This window comes from Homo sapiens, chromosome X (genome assembly GCF_000001405.40).
Source record: "Homo sapiens chromosome X, GRCh38.p14 Primary Assembly".
Classification (NCBI taxonomy): Eukaryota; Metazoa; Chordata; class Mammalia; order Primates; family Hominidae; genus Homo; species Homo sapiens.
In genome coordinates this window covers 72,902,342-72,921,030 of record NC_000023.11, presented here as the reverse complement: position 1 = coordinate 72,921,030, position 18,689 = coordinate 72,902,342, and the positions used below count along the sequence as shown (strand labels likewise).

General features: G+C 42.9%; 2 protein-coding genes across 6 annotated transcripts in view, besides 1 other annotated feature; one reads left to right on the top strand and one right to left on the bottom strand.

Annotated features, from left to right (window-relative positions):
• DMRTC1 (DMRT like family C1) overlaps positions 1 to 18,689 on the top strand; it is a 71,813-nt gene that overhangs the window by 22,807 nt on the left and 30,317 nt on the right. The gene's annotated exons all lie outside the window — the stretch shown is intronic.
• On the bottom strand, positions 7,630 to 8,416 carry FAM236C (family with sequence similarity 236 member C). 2 transcript variants are annotated; one of them, NM_001351111.1, is made up of 3 exons: positions 8,281 to 8,416; positions 7,936 to 8,111; positions 7,630 to 7,780 (listed from the first exon to the last, which is right to left on the bottom strand). In NM_001351111.1, the coding sequence occupies exons 1-3, from the start codon at positions 8,314 to 8,316 to the stop codon at positions 7,753 to 7,755; spliced, it is 240 nt and encodes a 79-aa protein (NP_001338040.1). In that variant the 5' UTR covers positions 8,317 to 8,416; the 3' UTR covers positions 7,630 to 7,752. The 2 variants fall into 2 exon arrangements, with proteins under 2 accessions (NP_001338040.1, NP_001338041.1); NM_001351112.1 differs by having other exon boundaries at positions 7,936 to 8,099.
• Positions 7,734 to 8,235: an enhancer, noted in NCBI's record as "H3K4me1 hESC enhancer chrX:72132634-72133134 (GRCh37/hg19 assembly coordinates)". NCBI's record gives its function as "activates a minimal SCP1, AML or CMV promoter by ChIP-STARR-seq in primed H9 embryonic stem cells {active_cell/tissue: H9 hESC(primed)}" and the evidence as "EXISTENCE:reporter gene assay evidence [ECO:0000049][PMID:30033119]".

Here is an 18,689-nt window from a genome sequence, read left to right as displayed (position 1 = left end):
CAACCCGCGATGACAATATTATAGCATTGTAAATCTGTCTGCTTTCTTACTATTACCTGTGAGTTTTATACCTTCGGATATTTTTTTGTTACATGTTAGTGTTCTTTTCTTTCAGACTGAAGAAACCCCGTTAGCATCTCTTGTAAGACAGGTGTTGTGTTGATGATTTTTCTCACGTTTTTTCTTTTCTTTCTTTTCTTTTTGTTTCAGCAAGTCTTTTTCTTTCTTTTTTGCTGGAAGGATAGCTTTGCTGAATATGGTATTCTTGACTGACAGTTTTTTTCCTCTTCATCACGTTGAATGTATCATTCCTCCCTTCCCTGGCCTGCAGGGTCTCTGGTGAGAAATCCACTGAAAGCTGTATTGGTGACCCATTGAGTGTGATATGTTGTTTTTGTTGTTTTTCTCTTGATGCTTTGAGCATTTTTCTTTGCCTCTGATTTGTTTAAATAATTTGAATATGGTGTGCCTTGGGGAATTTGTCTTTGGGTTGAATTTTATTTGTCACCTCTGAGCTTCCTGTGCCTGAATGCTATGATCTTTCTCCAGATTTGGGAAATTTCAGCCGTTATTTTTCTAAATATGCTTTCTAGACCTTGTATTTTTTTTTGTCTTCTTCAGCAATTTCTATTATGCAGAGTCTAATTTTCTTGATGATGTCTTATAATTCTTAAAGGCCTTCTTCCCTCTTTTAAAATGCTTTTGTCTTTTTCCTCCTCTATATATGTTCTGTCTTGGAGCTTACAGATTCTTTCCCCTGTTTGGTCAACTCTGCTGTTAAACCTTTCTAATGAGGTTTTCAGTTCAGTCACTGTATTCTCTATTTTAGGACTTCTGGTTTTTTTTTTTTTTTTTTTTAATTGTTTTTATTTCTTTGTCAAATTTTTTGTTTTGTTCCTGGATTGTTATTCAAATTTTATTTAGTTTGTTATCCATATTGTCATGTAATTCCCCAAACTTCTTTAGGATTATTCTGAATTGTCTGTCAGACATTCCATAGATCTTCAGTTTTTCTGGGTCTGTTACTGGAGTTTGGTTGGTTTCTTTTGGCGTGTCACATTTTGTGAGTTTTCACAATCCTTGTCTCTTTATGTTGATGTCTGTGTGTTTAAGGAGATGCTCACCTCTTCCAGGTTTTGCAGCTGCTCCTTGGTGGTGTCAAACCTTTACTACTTAATATTGGAACTTAATCCCTGGCCAGCTGTTGCTTTCAGTCTGGAAAAGACTTACTGTGAGCACCAGAACTTAAATGCTCCACTTAACTATGTTGCTGCCCTGCCACTGTTTCTTGGTCTGGGGAAGACTTAAGCGAACACTGGCCCATTATTGCCAACCTTTTAGTTCTTTCCAGGTCAAGGGAAGGCTCCATGTGATCACATGGGCTTAGTGAGAAATCTGGCCAGGGATCTGGGCCTTCCTGTGTGTTGCGCCCCCAGCAGTGCTGTGGTTCTGGCCAGTCTCCTCAGCATTGGCATGCCCACTGATCGTGGCACAGAGCAGCTGCCAAGATCCACGTGAGAGTTGCTGTGATCAGTGCACCCACTTTCTGTTCCCAATTCACCCCAGGTGTTTCAGCTCTCTTCTGGAACTCTGAAGGGTACCCGTGGGATAGGGCTGGAGGGGACTTCCCATGAAGATTCCCAGACTGATGGGGAGGTCACATGTCCACTTCCAGTTCCCTCCTTCCACCTCAGAAATTGTGGGTCTAGAGAAATTCTCTGTGAGTAGCATTATGCTGGTTTGGGGGAGGAGGTGGCACAGTCTAACGTGACTGTTGTTCCTCTTACTGGTTGTGGCTTTTCTCAGTTTTGTCATCCCAGGAAGTTTCCTTGCTTCTCCCCCAAGTTCTAGTGAAACCAGGGTGGTATTCTTGCCTTTGATTAATTTGTAGTTGTACTTTTGTGGGGAGAGTGGTACTGTGGGATCATCTGTTCAGCCTTCTTGCTGACGTCGCTCCTCCTATTTACCCCAGCGCTCAAATGCAGAAAGCGAGGCTAAGAAAAGGTGCAGGGATTTGTCCCTAGATTCTAATCCAAGATCCCGACCTATGTGTGCCTAACTGGAAAGCTATGCAGTGACGTGGGCCCATGGCAGGCTATAGGCCAACATTAAAGCCCCATTCATACTGGCCTCCTCCTAGACACAGAGGGAACACAGCATGTAGCAGAAGAAGCCCTCTTTTGTCCTCAGAGGTGTGTGCCTACTTCAAAGCACACAAGACAAGGAATGGCAGAAGAAGGGGCATAATAATGGGCCTGCTGGACAGGACACTTGTAGTGAGGGTTGGGAGATCTGGGGGCCAGGACAAGACCCACCACTAACTGTGACTTTGTCTAAGCAACTGGCTCTCTCCTGGCCACTTCTCTAATAACCAGATAACAGTTCTGAGCCACCATTGCAAGTGTCGGAAAGGTGGGTTTTTTGACCCCAGCTGGGATAAAAGGAAAGGGGGTGAGACATACCTCCAGCAATCATTTCAGCAGCCCATAGCTCTTATCAATGCAACCTCTCAGGCTTAGCAGCTATTGCTAGTATCATCATGATTTGCATGTAAATGACTGCTGCTGGATGATGATCTGGGGACAAATGGCATCCAGAGCTTATCCCAAAGGGCCTGATCTCAAGGAACCTGATGGATGTTGCCTCTAGGCCTGGTACAACACCAGCTGCTCTGTGGAGGGGGCATCCCAAGTAATCTTCACAACCCCTCTGTGAGACGCTTTCTTTCCCGCTCCCACAAAGAGTAATAGCATCGGTCCTTCTCAACCACCCAGGACTGCTGTGAGGAGCAATGAGAAAGCTCCCAACAGCCCTGGAAGATATTAGAAAGTGAGATACACCTGCTATGTACCCACAACAACAGCAACAACAAAAAAACAAGAACATGAGGAACATGATGCAAGTCCAACAGATTACTCATCCAGGCAATTGCAGAAAACATACCAGAGCTGTGTATTATGAGACAAATGGTCACCGACATTACTACTAATCATTAAATGCCCACTGATGATACTATTCCCAGTGGAGTTACAAATGCCACCCAAAGAATCCATAGCTCCTGTCCTCTCGGTAGATATGGGAAGTCACTGTTACTGGGGACCAGGTTTTGCCTGGCATGCCCCCACACGTTTTACCCCATCTAGTTCTCACAGCAAGTAAATAAGACAAGTCTAGCTCCTACCTCTGGGAGGAGGCTGTTCACCCTCCCCTCACAATCCCCAGAGGACGCTGATGGATAAGTAAACCAAGACCAAAGCCTCCTAACCCATGCTCCATGGTGTGTGCCAATGGTTTATGATGTCTCTGCACTACAGGTCTTGTCCACCCTTAAGTGGCCAATTAGGGCCTGGGACAGCCTGCAAATATTACCCAACATGGTTGAGCACCACCAGTTTTGAGCCTCACCTTTACACCATACACCAAAACATACATGTGTTATCGTGTATGTAAACAAACTCCAAACCAAGCCGAAACAAGAACAGGATGTGTATAAATTTCCTGAATGGGGTAGAATTCTGGTTATTTCCTGTGTAATTGCCAAGTATGTTCAACGTAGCTTCTCAGCAACCCATCAGCTATATGAATCTTAGCAGAACCGAAGACTAGACCCGATTTCTTCAGCCTTTCACTGAATTCTCCTCCTCCGCCTGTGATCCCTATCTGGGTCAATGGTACCCCAGGGCCACAAGTCACTCAAGCCAGAAACCTGGGTGTCATCCTTGGCCCCTTGCCTCTGGACCTTGCCCCAGGCCCACCTCCAGCCTAACACAGCACCGTTCTATCTATCCTATGAAAAGCATCTCTCAAGTAATGCCACTTCCCTCCAAACCCTCCTCCACTAATTTTCCCCACAAACTTTAAAACCCACGAGTGAGTGAGTGCATTTTCTTTGGGCACAATTTCTCCCTATGCCCATCTATTTTCTGTGATTGAGACTAGAGGTGTCTAAAGATGGCCAGTGAATGAATAAAATTGACTGGCAGGGTCACAGAAACAAGCAAAGCCCACGTTGACCCTCACTGGCATGATCTCATTACACTTCCTCATGCTGGAGTCCCAGGAAAGCCAAGTCTCTCTTTGTAATCAGTGCAGTGAGGATGGGTCAGCCTTTTATGAGAGTGGTCTTGGAGCGTGTGCTCCCCCTTGGGATGGCTTAAAGGTTGAGCTGCCCACCCTGTGATGCTGCGGGCACCACTCTGGGGGTTCCAGCGAGATGCAGCTTTCCCCCTACAGGAAATAAACCAGATGAATGTGATTTGATATGACCAATGTGAGGTCCCATCACTCATTAGTATGTGTCTGGAAGGCCCACGGTTAGGCTCCATCTTCTGTAGGACACCAGCAGTCTTCCGACTGTTCTCAGGAGTACTCTGGCAGTCTGTAGAATTACCTCAGGTGACCATGGGGAGCACTGGAGGAGGGGCACGACAGATGCAGTTTTTTCCCCATTACGTCGCACCATCATTTTACCAGTCAAAACAAGTCCCCAGTGGGTGCAGTGTGGGAGGAGATTGGGCACTGTGTGGTGGGAACTGTCTCCAAGCACCCTGTTACCGGGGAACCCTGACTCCATGAATGTTTTAGCTTTGCTGCATGTGGGACTGCAAGTACAGTGTCTCCATCACCAAGAGCATGGGCTGTAACTCACAGTTCAATAGGACCCCCTAGATTTGTAGTTGGTGACAGTGGCTCTTAGACTGCATTGCTGTAATGGAAGGATCCTTGCCTCAGATCAACCAGGGACTGTATCTTGGCTCCCTCTTGTGCTGGCGATGCAACCTCAGAATGGTGATCACACCACTCACCTTGATCCGGATGGTGGAATAATAAAACAAAAACATGTGACGCTCCTGTAACACAGCAGGCTGTGTAACATTTCATGGAGCTAAGTACAAATGTTGCTGCCTCTGTAAGGCTGCCCAGGATTCACGGGAACATAGCACCAGAGAGATTGAGGACAGGTGGGGCAGAAAAACAAGCTTAATCTCTTGCTCACTCGCACAGTCCAATGGTCTTCTGTTCACCAGAAGTGCTGGGTGAGCCTGGAGCCGTGGAATTTCTGACCCCACACCTTCTTCTGAGGCACTGTCGACTTTACTTTACTGACCTACCTGAGACGTCTCTCAGGCACGGGGATTGTGAGGTGATGTAAACGCGGGTCGGGGGGAGGTGTAAGCAAAGGAGAAGAACTCATAACTCGGTCACGGTCATATTTCAGAAACGAAGGTGTAAAGCTGACGACCCATGCCTTCCCCTATTGCTGACCTGTCTTTCCCCATTCCTGCATGTGATTGCCCTGCATGCTCAAATGGTTCATCATGCAATGGGTAATGGGCCTGCTCTTGAGATGCATGAGCATCTGTTTTGTGTCGCTGTAACAGAATACATGAGACTGCGTGATTTATAAATAAAAAAATATTTATTTAGCTCATGGTTCTGCAGGCTGGGAAGTTGAAGGGCATGGCCCTAGCTTCAGGCGAGGGCTTGTGTGCTGTGTCATAATGTGGTGAGGAAGGTCAAGGGGGAAGTGGACACATGCAATGAGAGAAAACCTGAGGGGCATCCTGGCTGTATAGCAACCTACTATCTTGGGCACTTTGTCCATTCCTGCGAGCACTAATCCAGTCTCGCCAGAGCAAGAACTCACTCACTACTGTGAGGAGAGCACCAAGACACCTACAAGGACAAAGGTGGAGCCCTCGTGACCCAAACAACCGTGCACTAAGCCTCACCTCCCAGCACCACCACCTTGGGGACCAAATTTCAACATGAGTGGAATCTCCTGTGTATACGGGGCTGGCAGAGGAAAGCATTTTCTGCTGTGAGGCTGCAGAGTCCACTGGCCTGCGCAATGGGGAAGGCAGGGAAGTCCTCATGGTCCATCCAACCCAAGAGGGCCTGAGGTGGACGATGGCAACTGGAGGTCGAATCAGCAGTGGAGGTGTTCCTTTCAGGAGATGATGCGTAGTGCTGTGGCTGTGTGTGGGAGTCAGTCAGCATCTGGTGGGTAGTGGGCATATGGTTCTGGGCAAAGCAGACTTGGACAATGTTAGGATCAGATTGGAGAGCCCTGGAGAGAGTGTGGTGCTGGGGAGAAGGGCTCCTTGTTGCTGAGTCTGGCTACCTTTAAATCCCATCTCTGCCACTTGGGTTTCAAGAGTGACTGCCAAGTTGTGCCCTATCCACCAGATTTCCCCACATCATTTCTTGTTTCAACAAGTATTTGCATCCTAAATACACACATACAAGCACAAGCATGCCCATGCACATGTATGCACAGACTCTCCCTGACACTCCCTTACCAGTGCAATGACTGAGCTCATGGTTATGACAGCAGCTATGAAGGAACGAACACCCAACAAGCCCCCAGCCCTAGGGAGTTGGAACGCTGCTCCTCTTTTGGACTAAACATGGGGTTTAGGGCTAAACCCCATGATGTCAAGTCCTAGCCCCTTTTGGAGAAGCAGCAACATGGAGCTGAACTTCCCCCACTGAGTTAGGGCCCAGCTCAGGAGGACAGAGCCATTGTGGGGAGATAGGTGGTACCTGTGCCATCGAAAAAGCTGCAGAGACATGGGATCTAAAGAACTCCATCACTCCATAATTAACAGCTCTGTCTGTTCAGTACCTATGGGTCTCACCGTGGCTGTTCCCCAGGAATATAGGAAAAGGGCTGTGGGACTTCCAAATGCTGTCGCCTACCTGAACCTTACCCCATCTGGATTTCATTTGAGCTTAAAGGCCCTGGACCTCTGAAGAACCAGAGGGTGAGTAATTCACCCAGCAGGCCCTAAGAAAGCATTTTTTTTTTTTCCTCCCCTGGCTTTGCACAGGGGACTGCATGAGACGGGGGAGGGGGAGAGAGAATTTTGGTGTTCCTGTGTCCTAGTTAGGCTTCTTGATGCTAAAGAGCACATCCAATATCCTTGTCCATTTACTTTGGTGACTCCTGGTGCTGCAGTTTCTAACAGGGCCTCCTCCATGGTTGTTAGTTAACAGGGACAATTATGCTCCAACCGCCCCCCTTTCAGAATTCTCCTGCTGATACTGTGTTGCAACACATATCAAGGTCACCTTAGGAAGGCAAAAGAAAAAAAATAAAGTCCTCATCTTATGGAAAGGAACAATGCATAGTTGGAGACAAGGCCGTCTGTTGGAAGGGGTCTCTGTCTTGTGGTGGAGTAGGCGGGGCTTGGGAGCTCTTTGTCAGTACAGGGGTTAACGCCTTTTCTGAGGTCCACAGATTCTTCCTCCACATGACCCTCTCGCCTCCGCATATAAACACCGCCCAGTTTTCCTCAGATATGAAGACTGTGTGCATTGCTGGGGGTAAGAGAGATGTTATTCCGTCCTCATTCCTGCATGTGAGATGTTATTCCGTCCTCATTCCTGCATGTAAGTGCCCCGCCAGGGTCAGAGCTGAGAGCCGTGGAAAACTCACCGTTGATTGGCTACAGCCCATCGCCACCAGGACCTAGTAACAAGCAGCGCTGCCTCGAGGAGGGCAGACAGCCTAACAGGGCTAAGGAAGATGCTAGCTCTCTCCCTTCACAACCCCACCACCACCAAAGCTGACCACCCCCAGTTCAGCCGACGTGTTGAAAGTTACATCAAATGCCACAAAGCAAAAACAGTCAAGCGTGCCAGCATTTATTTCAGGCCCGGTGACCGGGACACTGGGGCGAGCAGGGGCATGGAGCATCAGAGGGGGCTCGGTCACCGTTCACGCCTGTGTCTGTGGCTCCGGTGGTCTCAGATTCCGAGTGCCCGGTATCCTCCCCTAGGGAGGAAAGCAGAGTGACAAGTGGACCCTCGGGAGCCCTGGGGATTTCTGGCTTGGCCTGAGGTTCTCTTGGTGGAACAGGAAGGGGAGGCGGATGGGCTTGGTGGCGAGCCAGTGAGACAGGCAGAGGCTGGCTCCGAAGGAGCTCTCGCCTGAAGCACTTGATGAAACATGCCAGGGCCCTCTGGAACCGGCTCCTCCAAGACCCTCGCAGAAGAGCAGGTTCCCTGGGCAAGCCTGTGCCACTGGATGGGTCCTCCGCGGTGTCAGATACAGCAACCAATTCCTCAGGGTCTTTTTGCGGCCCTTTCACATTCTGAAAGACAGACTAAATAACTGGATCCTAATGCTCCCTCCCATCCCTGGCTTCCGTTACGCAACTGTTGTGTGCATCTCCGGCCCTCTTCCATGGGTGAGGGATGCAGCAGTGACCTGCGCAGACCAAAGCCCAGCCTCCTAGGGGACATTCCAGGACAACGGAGGGAAGCCAGACTCACCAGGTCAGCAGGTGGAAGGAAGGGAGTGAAGATCATGCTTCCAGGAGTGTGTGATGTGCCGGTAGGGACCAACAGGACTTCAATGAAGACACCGGCGAAGCTCGTCACTCTGCCCGGTGCAAAGAGGCCGAGGGCCTGCCCCCTCCACGCCCCATTCAGCCCCTCTGCCCCTGCCCCATCGTCCCTCCCCCCCTACAGCCTGGTGCTCCAGCAGGGGATACATTTCTGGCATGTCGCATTCCATTTGTTTCTGTATCTCTTACTCCCAGTCCTCCAATCTTTCTTTCCTTTGCTGCTGCTTCCTGGCCCTCTCAGCAGGCTCGAGCCACGTTTCTCCTTGCCGAGCAGAAAAAGCAGAGGTCTTCAAGCTGGTGATGAGTCATCATTTGGTGGGGATGCCACAGACCCGAGTGTCCATGTGGGTGCTCTCCTGCCTTTGATTCACAGGATTATGTACATGGATGCCCTGGGCAGGTGTATGAGTCCAAATGAGTCGTCACAGCAAGGAGCGTGAGCTGGGTAATGGTATCCAGAGTCCAAATCAACAGCAGTTTTCTTTTCAGAGGTTTACGTGAGACTCCACGTCTATGTACCAGTCAGTATCAGGTGGTTTAGGGCCTGGAGGGCTTGGAAAATGTGAGAGAGAGGGAGAGGTGAAGGGCCTGGGCTGGGGTGAGTTGAAAGTAGAACAGCCGACCAGCCTGGGCAGCATAGGGAGACCCCACCCCCACAGAAAATTTCAAAAGTAGCCTGGCATGGTGGCACACACCTCTAGCCCCACCTACTCAGGAGGCTGAGGGGGGAGGATTGCTTGAGCCTGGGAGGCGGAGGCTGCAATGAGCCGTGATGGCACCACTCCACTGCACTCCAGGCTGGGAGACAGAAGGAGACTCTGTCTCAAAAACAAACTGACAAATCAAACAAACAAACAAAAGAAAGTAGAAGAGCAGAGGTGAAAGCTCCTTGTTGCCTAGTCTTGCTATGTCAAAATCAGGCTTTGACATTTGAGTTACAAGCAATGCTGCCAAGTTATGCCCCCCGTTTGCTAACCAGGTCTGTGCGGTCCGCACCGCTGACTTCACAGGAGCTCCCTGCAAACAGTACCCTGAAGGGAAAGTGGAAGTAGGTGGCCTCAGAGTCTTTCTTTGGCTTTTGAAACAATAGTGCTGTTTAGGAAAGCATCTCTTACATAATCCTGAGGCTACAGAGTTGATCTCTGTGAGCCTATCATGGGCCGTGCCCTGAATGAGGCTCTGCTTCAAGCTCTTCTGTGAGGGAGAAACCGAGAGAGGCATGAATGTAACAGAGAGTGATGGAGGGACGTTTATGGGGCTACGGGAGGACTGAGGAGGCGGGCAGTCACTCAGCCTTGGGAATTGGAACGGAGTCAGTGAAGAGTTCCCAGAGGAGGCGTGCCTGAAAGGAGGGACAAAAGAAATTGGCCAAGAAATAGAGAAAAGGGAGAGCATCACAAGTAGAAGCCCAAGACAATACCGTGAGGTTTTGCAACTGAAAATATGTAGGCCTGGTTTTCTGTTCTAGGGTTTAATAGAAGTCAAAGTCAGTCACGAGGTTCCAGTACAGGAACCTGAAAAGCTGTGCCTCACAGAGACACTGAACCCTGGTTTTTGAGAACCCAAAGGGTATATTTTTAATAGAATTTTGATATATATTGATTTAATAGAATTTGATAATAGAATTTTGATCAATAGCAGTCCATTGATCATTTTTCCAGTGTGATTCATGCTTTCATGTGTCCTACCCTAAGATATCGTTGCCTAGCCTCACAACAGAGATTTTCTCTTCTGATGTTTGTAGGTTTTAATATTTTGCAATTTACACTTAGATCTAGGATTTATTTTGAATTAATGCCTGCATGAAGTGTGAATAATGTCGGGATGAATGGTGAGATATTGAAGTTGTTTGGGTCTTCCGTAAAGAGATCTACTTTTTCCAGCACTATTAGTTAATTGTCAGCTAATTTAATTATCTTTGAGCCTTTATTAGAAATCAACTTACTATATATATGTAAGTCTATTTCTAGCCCTTCTTCTATTTCATCCAATGATCCCTATGTGAATTCTTAAGGTCATACCAGGCTGTCATGATTACCATGTCTTTATATTAAGTCAGAGACTTTGGTGATGTGAGTCCTTCATGCTTGTTCTTTTCCAAATGGCTTTGGATCTTCTATGTCATTTGCATTTATATATAACTTTTGAGAAACAGTTCTTCACTTTAATTATGATTATGGTGAGCCTATAGATCCATTACTTGAGAATTGGCATCTTAACCTGAGTCTTCTGATCAACGAACATTATATATCTCTGTTTATTTAGGTCTCCACTTTCTCTCGCCAGTATTTTATAGTGGTCTGCATACAGGTCTTTCACATATTACATTAAAATTCTCAATAGATACCTCATTTATTTTGCTGTAATTATAAATGACATTTTAAATAATGTCATCTCCAATTATTTGTTCCCAGTATGTTGAAACACAGTGGGTTTTTGTATGTTGAGTTTCTGTCTTGTAACTTTGTTATGTGACTTGTTAGGTCTAGGAGATGTTTATCCCCACATTCCTTAGTATTTTGTATGTAGACTATCATGCTATTTGTAAATGGAGAGGTTTTTTTTATTCCTTCCTATTCAATCTGTATGCCTTTTACTTATTTTCCTTGGCTCATTGCACTAGCTGGGACCTCAAGGATAATTGTATACGCATAGTAAGAGTCTGCCTTATTTTTAATCTTATGGGAGAAGCATTCAGTATTTCACCATTAGGCATGGTGCCAGCTGCAGGTTTTTTGTAGGAGTACTTTATTAGGTTGAGGACGTTGCTTTATGTACTTATCAAGTGGTTTGGGTTTTTTGGTCATGAATGGGTGTTTTATGTTATCAAATTACTTTTCTGTTATATATCTGGATAATAAATGCTCTTTTCTTTTATTCCATTAATATGGTGAAATATAGTCACGGATTTTTAATGGTAAAATGACCTTACATTCCCAGGACAGACTGTGCTTGGTAATAGATTATTTTTTTTTCATATATTATTGGATTCAAGTTGCTAAAATTTTATCAAGGAGTTTTGTAACTATGTTCATTAGGAACACTGGTTTGTAGTTCCTTTTTTTCTTCTGGTATCTTTTTTCTATTTTTTTTTTTTAAATAAAAGTAATGCTGCCATCATAAAATGAACTGGAAAGTGTTCCCTCCTGTATTTTCTAAAAGTGTTCTTTTGGGACTACTACTATGTTTTCTTTAAATGTATGACACTGCTAACCAGTAAATCTATTGAAGACTGAAGTTTTCTTTATGATTTACAAATACGGTTTTAAAAAGTCTCCACATAACCATTCTTTTAACCTTAACAAGGTCTTTAGGGATGATTACCAATTAATTATATGTAGTTATTAGAAGAGTGTGCTTAAAAAATTTTCCTCAGCTTTTAAATGTCTTATTTTCTTTCTTCTTTTCTTTAATTTTTATTTTTCTTTATTTCTTCTAAAACAATTAACGGGATACATGTGCAGAACGTGCGGGTTTGTTACATAAGTATACGTGTGCCATGGTGGTTTGCTGCACCTATTGACCCATCCTCTAAGTTGCCTCCCCTCATCCCCTACCCCCCAACAGCTCCTGGTGTGTGTCCTTCCCCTCTCTGTGTCCATGTATTCTCATTGTTCAACTCCCACTTCTGAGTGAGAACGTGCGGTGTTTGGTTTTCTGTTCCTGTGTTAGTTTGCTGAGAATGATGGTTTCCAGCTTCATCCATGTCCCTGCAAAGGACATGATCCCATTCCTTTTTATGGCTACGTAGTATTCCATGGTGTATATGTACCACATTTTCTTTATCCAGTTTATCATTGATGGACATTTGGGTTGGTTCCAAGTCTTTGCTATTGTAAATAGTGCCTGCAATAAACGTACATGTGCATGTATCTTTATAGTAGAATGATTTATATTCCTTTGGGTATATACCCATTAATGGGATTGCTGGGTCAAATGGTATTTCTGGTTCTAGATCCTTGAGGAATCACCACACTGGCTTCCACGATGGTTGAACTAATTTACGTTCCCACCGACAGCGTAAAAGCGTTCCCATTTCTCCACAGCCTTGCCAGCATCTATCGTTTCTTGACATTTTTAATAATCGCCATTCTGACTGGCATAAGTTGGTATCTCATTGTGGTTTTGATTTGCATTTCTCTGATGATGAGTGATGTTGAGCTTTTTTTCATATGTTTGTTGGCCATGTAAATGTCTTCTTTTGAGAAGTGTCTGTTCATATCCTTTGTCCACTTTTTGATGGGATTGTTTGTTTTTTTTTTTCTTGTAAATTTGTTTAAGTGTCCTGTAAATTCTGGATATTAGCCCTTTGTTAGATGGGTAGATTGCAATGATTTTCTCCCGTTCTGTAGGTTGCCTGTTCATTCTGATGCTTGTTTCTTTTGCTGTGCAGAAGCTCTTTAGTTTAATTAGATTCCATTTGTCAATTTTGGTTTTTGTTGCAATTGCTTTTGGCGTTTTCGTCATGAAGTCTTTGCCCATTCCTATGTCCCGAATAGTATTGCCTAGGTTTTCTTCTAGGGTTTTTATGGTTTTGGGTTTTACATTTAAGTCTTTAATCCACCTTGAGTTAATTTTTGTATAAGGTCTGAGGAAGGGGTCCAGTTTCTGTTTTCTGCGTATGGCTAGCCAGTTTTCCCAGCACCATTTATTTAATAGGAGATCCTTTCCCCTTGTTTTTGTCAGGTTTTTCGAAGATCAGATGGTTGTAGATGTGTGGTGTTATTTCTGCGGTCTCTATTCTGTTCCATTGGTCCATATGTCTGTTTTGGTACCAGTACCATGCTGTTTTGGTTACTGTAGACTTGTAGTATAGTTTGAAGTCAGGTAGCGTGATGCCCCCAGTTTTGTTCTTCTTGCTTAGGATTGTCTTCGCTATATGGGGTCTTCTTTGATTCCATATGAAACTTAAAGTAGTTTTTCTTCTAGTTCTGTGAAGAAAGTCAATGGTCTTGATGGGAATAGCATTGAATCTATAAATTACTTTGGGCAGTATGGCCATTTTCACGATATTGATTCTTCCTATTCATGAGCATGGAATGTTCTTCCATTTGTGTCCTCTCTTATTTCCTTGAGCAGTGGTTTGTAGTTCTCCTTGAAGAGGTCCTTCACATCCCTTGTGAGTTGTATTCCTAGGTATTTTATTTTCTTTGTAGCAAAGAAGAAATCATGGGAATTCACTCATGATTTGGCTCTCTGCTTGTCTATTATTGGTGTATAGGAATGCTTGCGATTTTTGCACATTGATCTTTGTATCCTGAGACTTTGCTGAAGTTGCTTACCAGCTGAAGGAGATTTTGGGCTGAGACGATGGAGTTGTCTATATATACTGTCATGACATCTGCAAACAGAGACAATTTGAGTTACTCTCTTCTTATTTGAATACGCTTTATTTCTTTCCCTTGCCTGATTGTCCCGGCCAGAACTTCCAATTCTATGTTGAATAGGAGTGATGAGAGAGGGCATCCTTGTCTTGTGCCGGTTTTCAAAGGGAATGTTTCCGTGTTTGTCATAAATAGCTCTTATTATTTTGAGATATGTTCCATCAATACCTAGTTTATCGAGGGTTTTTAGCATGAAGGGGTGTTGAATTTTATTGGAGGTCTTTTCTGCGACTATTGAGATAATCATGTGGTTTTTGTCATTGGTTCTGTCTATGTGATGGATTACGGTTACTGATTTGCGTATGTTGAAGTAGCCTTGCATCCCAGGGATGAGGCCGACTTGATCGTGGTGGATGAGCTTTCTGATGTGCTGCGGGATTCGGTTTGGCAGTATTTTATTGAGGGCTTTTGTGTGGACGTTCATCAGGGATATTGGCCTGAAATTTTCTTTATTTGTTGTGTCTCTTCCAAGTTTTGGAATCAGGATGATGCTGGCCTCATAAAATGAGTTAGGGAGGAGTCCCTCTTTTTCTATCGTTTGAAATACTTTCAGAAGGAATGGTACCAGCTCCTCTTTGTACCTCTGGTAGAATTTGGCTGTGAATCCGTCTGGTCCTGGGCTTTTGTTGGTCAGTAGGCTATTAGTTACTGCCTCAATTGTAATTTTCCTTTTAATGTGGTGCATCACATTAATTAATTTGCACGTGTTGAACCATCCTTGCTTGCTTCCCAGAAATAGATCCTGCTTAGTCATGGTGAACGATCCTTTTAATGTGCTCCTGAGTTTGGTTTGCTCGTATTTTGTTGAGAATTTCTGCCTCTATGTTCATCAGAGATATTGTCCTCCTGCTTCCTTTTCTTGAAGTGTTTTCATCAGGCTTTGGTATCAGGGTGACCCTGGCCTCATAGAACGAACTTGACAGCATTCTCTCTTCTTCAAGCTTTGGGAAGCGTTTGAGAAGGTTTGGGGTTAATTTTCTTTAAATGCTTGGTAGAACTCACCAGGGAAGCCATCTGGTCCTTAGCTTTTCTTTAATGGGAAGTTTTTGATTACTGATCCAATCTCCTTACTCCTTATTGTTCTGTACAGATTTTCTGTTTTTTTTAATGATGCAGGCTTGGTTGGTTGTATGCATCTATGAATTTATCCACTTCTGGGCTGACCCATTTATTGCTGCGTAATTGTTCACAGTTGTCTCTTATGGTTCTTTTTATATTTCTGGCATCAATTGTAAAGTCTCTTCTTTCATTTCTGATTTTATTTCCCTGATTCTTCTCTCTTTTCTTCTCATTTAGTCTGGCTAAAGGTTTGTTAATTTTGTTTATCTTTTCAAAAAACCAACTCTTATTTTCACTGATTATTTTCCTGTGGTCTTCTATTCCCTATTTTTTTTTTATTTCTGCTCTAATTTTTTATTATTTCATTCTTTCTGCTAACTTTGGAGTTAGTTTGTTCTTCTTTTCCTAGTTCCTGGAGATAAAAAGTAAATTTAGTCCAGGCGCCGTGACTCACGCCTGTAATTCCAGCACTCTGGGAGGCCGAGGCGGGTGGATCACGAGGTGAGGAGATTGAGACCATCCTGGCCAGCATGGTGAAACCCCGTCTCTACTAAAATACAAAAAATTAGCCGGGCGTGGGCGCCTGCAGTCCCAGCTACTCGGGAGGCTGAGGCAGGAGAATGGCTTGAACCCAGGAGGCAGAGGTTGCAGTAAGCTGAGATTGCGCCACTGCACTCCAGCCTGGAAACAGAGCGAGACTCCGTCTCAGAATAAAATAATAAATAAATAAATAAAATAAAAATTAAAATAAAAAATAAATTTAATGGACATCAATATATTTTGTTTAAATCTATGTACTTGCTGTTTGTTTTCTATTTTCCCATTTGTTCTTTACTCCTCTCGTCCATTTTTTTTCATCTCATCACATTTTGGTTGGGCGTTTTAGGATTCCATTTGTCTTCACTACTGTCTTATTAGCTGTATCTATTTCAATTTATTTAAATGGTTGCTCAACTTACCACACTCTATCTTCAAGTAATACTATAGCATTTCACATACAGTGCTTCAATCTCAGTGGAGTATACCTTATTTTTCTCCTCTTTTTTTTTTTTTTGCAGTGCTATTGTTACGCATTTTATTTCTACATATGCTATAACATATGTATGTTATAAACATCATTCCGCTTTCAAGTTAGTTATAAACTGTCAGTTGTCATTTATATATATATTTTTTTAAATGAGGAAAAAAGCTATCTTTCATATATAGCCATAGGTTTCATTCATTCCTCTTGGTCAATCCTAGTTTCCACGTGGTATCATTTTACTTCTGCCTATATTTACTTCTGCCTGTATTTTTTTGGGGGGAGAAATGGCTGTTCACATCTTTTGCCCATTTCTCAATGAGGTTATATGTTTTATTATTAATTTCTAAAACTAATTTCTGTAATCTAGATACAAGTCACTTATAAGTTATATGATTTGCAAATACTTTCTCCCATTCTGGGGCTTCTTTTTTCACATTCTTGATGGTATTATTAATTGCAGCAAAAAGTTTTTAATTTTAATGAAAGTCCTGTTTATCCTATCCCATTGTAGTTTTGGTTTGCATTTCTCTGATGATCAATGATGTTGAGTACCTTTCCGTATGTCTGTTTGCCATATATGTGTCTTCTTTTGAGACGTGTCTATTCAGATCCTTTGCCTATTTTTTAATCGGATTATTACATTTTTTCCCTATAGAGTTGTTTGAGCTCCTTATGTATTGTGGTTATTAATCTCTTGTCAGACAGGTAGTTTGCAAATATTTTCTCCCATTCTGTGGGTTTGCCTCTTTACTTTGTTGATGAACAAAGGATTCCACTTGAGACTCCTAGTTTCATTGATTTTGCCCCCATGGTTTTCTATTCTCTATTTTGTTTTCAATGTTGACGGTTTCCTTTGCTGTGGCAGAAGCTTTTCAACTTGATGTGATCCCATTGGTCTATTTTTTTTTCTTGCTTTGGTTGCCTGTGTGTGCGGGGTATTACTCAAGAAATCTTTGCCCAGTGCAATATACTGGAGAGTTTCCCCTAATGTTTTCTTTTAGTAGTTTCATAGTTTGAAGTCTTAGATTTAAGTCTGTAATCTATTTTAATTTGATTTTTGTGTAAGTTGAAAGATAGAGGTCCAGTTTCATGCTTCTGCATGTGAATATCCAGTTTTCCCAGCACCATTTATTGAAGAGACTCTTTTCTCTAGTGCATGTTTTTGGCACCTTTGTGGAAAATGAGTTCACTGCAGGTGTGTGGATTTGTTTCTGGGCTCTCTATTCTGTTCCATTGATCTATGTGTCTGTTTCTATGCCAGTACCGTGCCTTTTTGGTTACTATAGCTCTGTAGTATAATTTGAAGTCAGGTAATATGATTCCTCCAGTTTTGTTCTTTTTGCTCAGGATAGCCTTTGCTCTTCTTTTGGCAATCTGTAGATTGTTTTGGATAGTATGAATATTTTAACAATAATAATTCTTCCAATCAATGAACATGGAATAGCTTTTCATATTTTTGCAATCCCCTTCAATTTCTTTCATCAGTGTTTTACAGCGTTCCTTGTAGAGATTTTCACTTCCTTTGTTAATTCCTAGGTATTTTATTTTATTGATAGCTATTGTAAATGGGATTACTTTATTGATTTCTTTTCCAGATTGTTCACAGTTGGTAGTGATTTTCGTATGTTGATTTTGTATCCTGGGACTTTACTGAATTCGTTTATCAGTGCTAATAGTTTTTTGGTGGGGTCTTTAGGTTTTTCCAAACATAAGATTATGTCATATGCAAACAAGGATAATTTGGCTTTTTCCTCTGTAATTTTGACACCCTTTATTTCTTTCTCTTGTCTGACTGCTCTAGCTAGAACTTCCTGTACTATGTTGAATAACAGTGGTGAAAGTGGGCATCCTTGTCATGTTCCAGATCTTAGAGGAAAGGCTTTCAGTTTTTGCCCATTCAGTATGATACTAGCTGTGGGTGTGTCATATATGACTTTTATTATGCTGAGGTTTGTTCCTTCTATACTCAGTTTCTGCAGAGTTTTTATAATGAAGGGATGTTGAATTTTATCAAATGCTTTCTCAGCATCCTTTGAAATTATCATATGTTTTTGTCCCTCATTCTGTTAATATGATACATCACATTGACTGATTTGCATATGTCGAATCATCCTTCCATCTCTGGGATAAATCCCATTTGGTCATGATGAATTATCTTTTTAATGTGTTGGTGAATTCGGTTTGTGAGTGAGTATTTTGTTGAGGATTTTTGCATCAATGTTCATCAGGGATATTGGCCTATAGTTTTCTGCGTGTGTGTATGTGTGTGTGTGTGTGTGTGTGTGTGTGTGTGTGTGTGTCTTTGTCTGGTTTTGGTATCAGGAAAACACTCATAGAATGAGTTCAGAAGTATTCCCTCCTCCTCTACCTTTTGAAGTACTTTGAGTAGGATTGGTATTTGTTCTTCTTTAAATGTTTGGCGCAATTCAGCAGTGAAGCCATTGGGTACCAGGCTTTACTTTGCTGGGAGACTTTAATTATGGCTTCCATCTCATTACTTGTTATTGTTCTGTTCAGGTTTTAAATTTCCTCATGGTTCCATCTTTGTAGGTTGTATGTGTGTATGAACTTATCCATTTCTTCAAGGTTTTCAAATCTACAGGCATATAGTTGCTCACAGTAGCCTCTAACGATCCTTTGAATTTCTGCACTATCAGTTGTAATGTCTCCCTTATCATCCCTGATTTTATTTATTTGGTTCTTTTCTTTTATTTCTCATTTATTCTGGCTAAAAGTGGGTCCATTTGGTTTCTCTTTTGAAAAAACCAACTTTTCATTTCATTGATCTTGTGCATTGTTTTCTTCGTTTAGATTTTATGTATTTCTGCTCTGATCTTTATTATTTCTTTTCTTCTATTAATTTTGAGA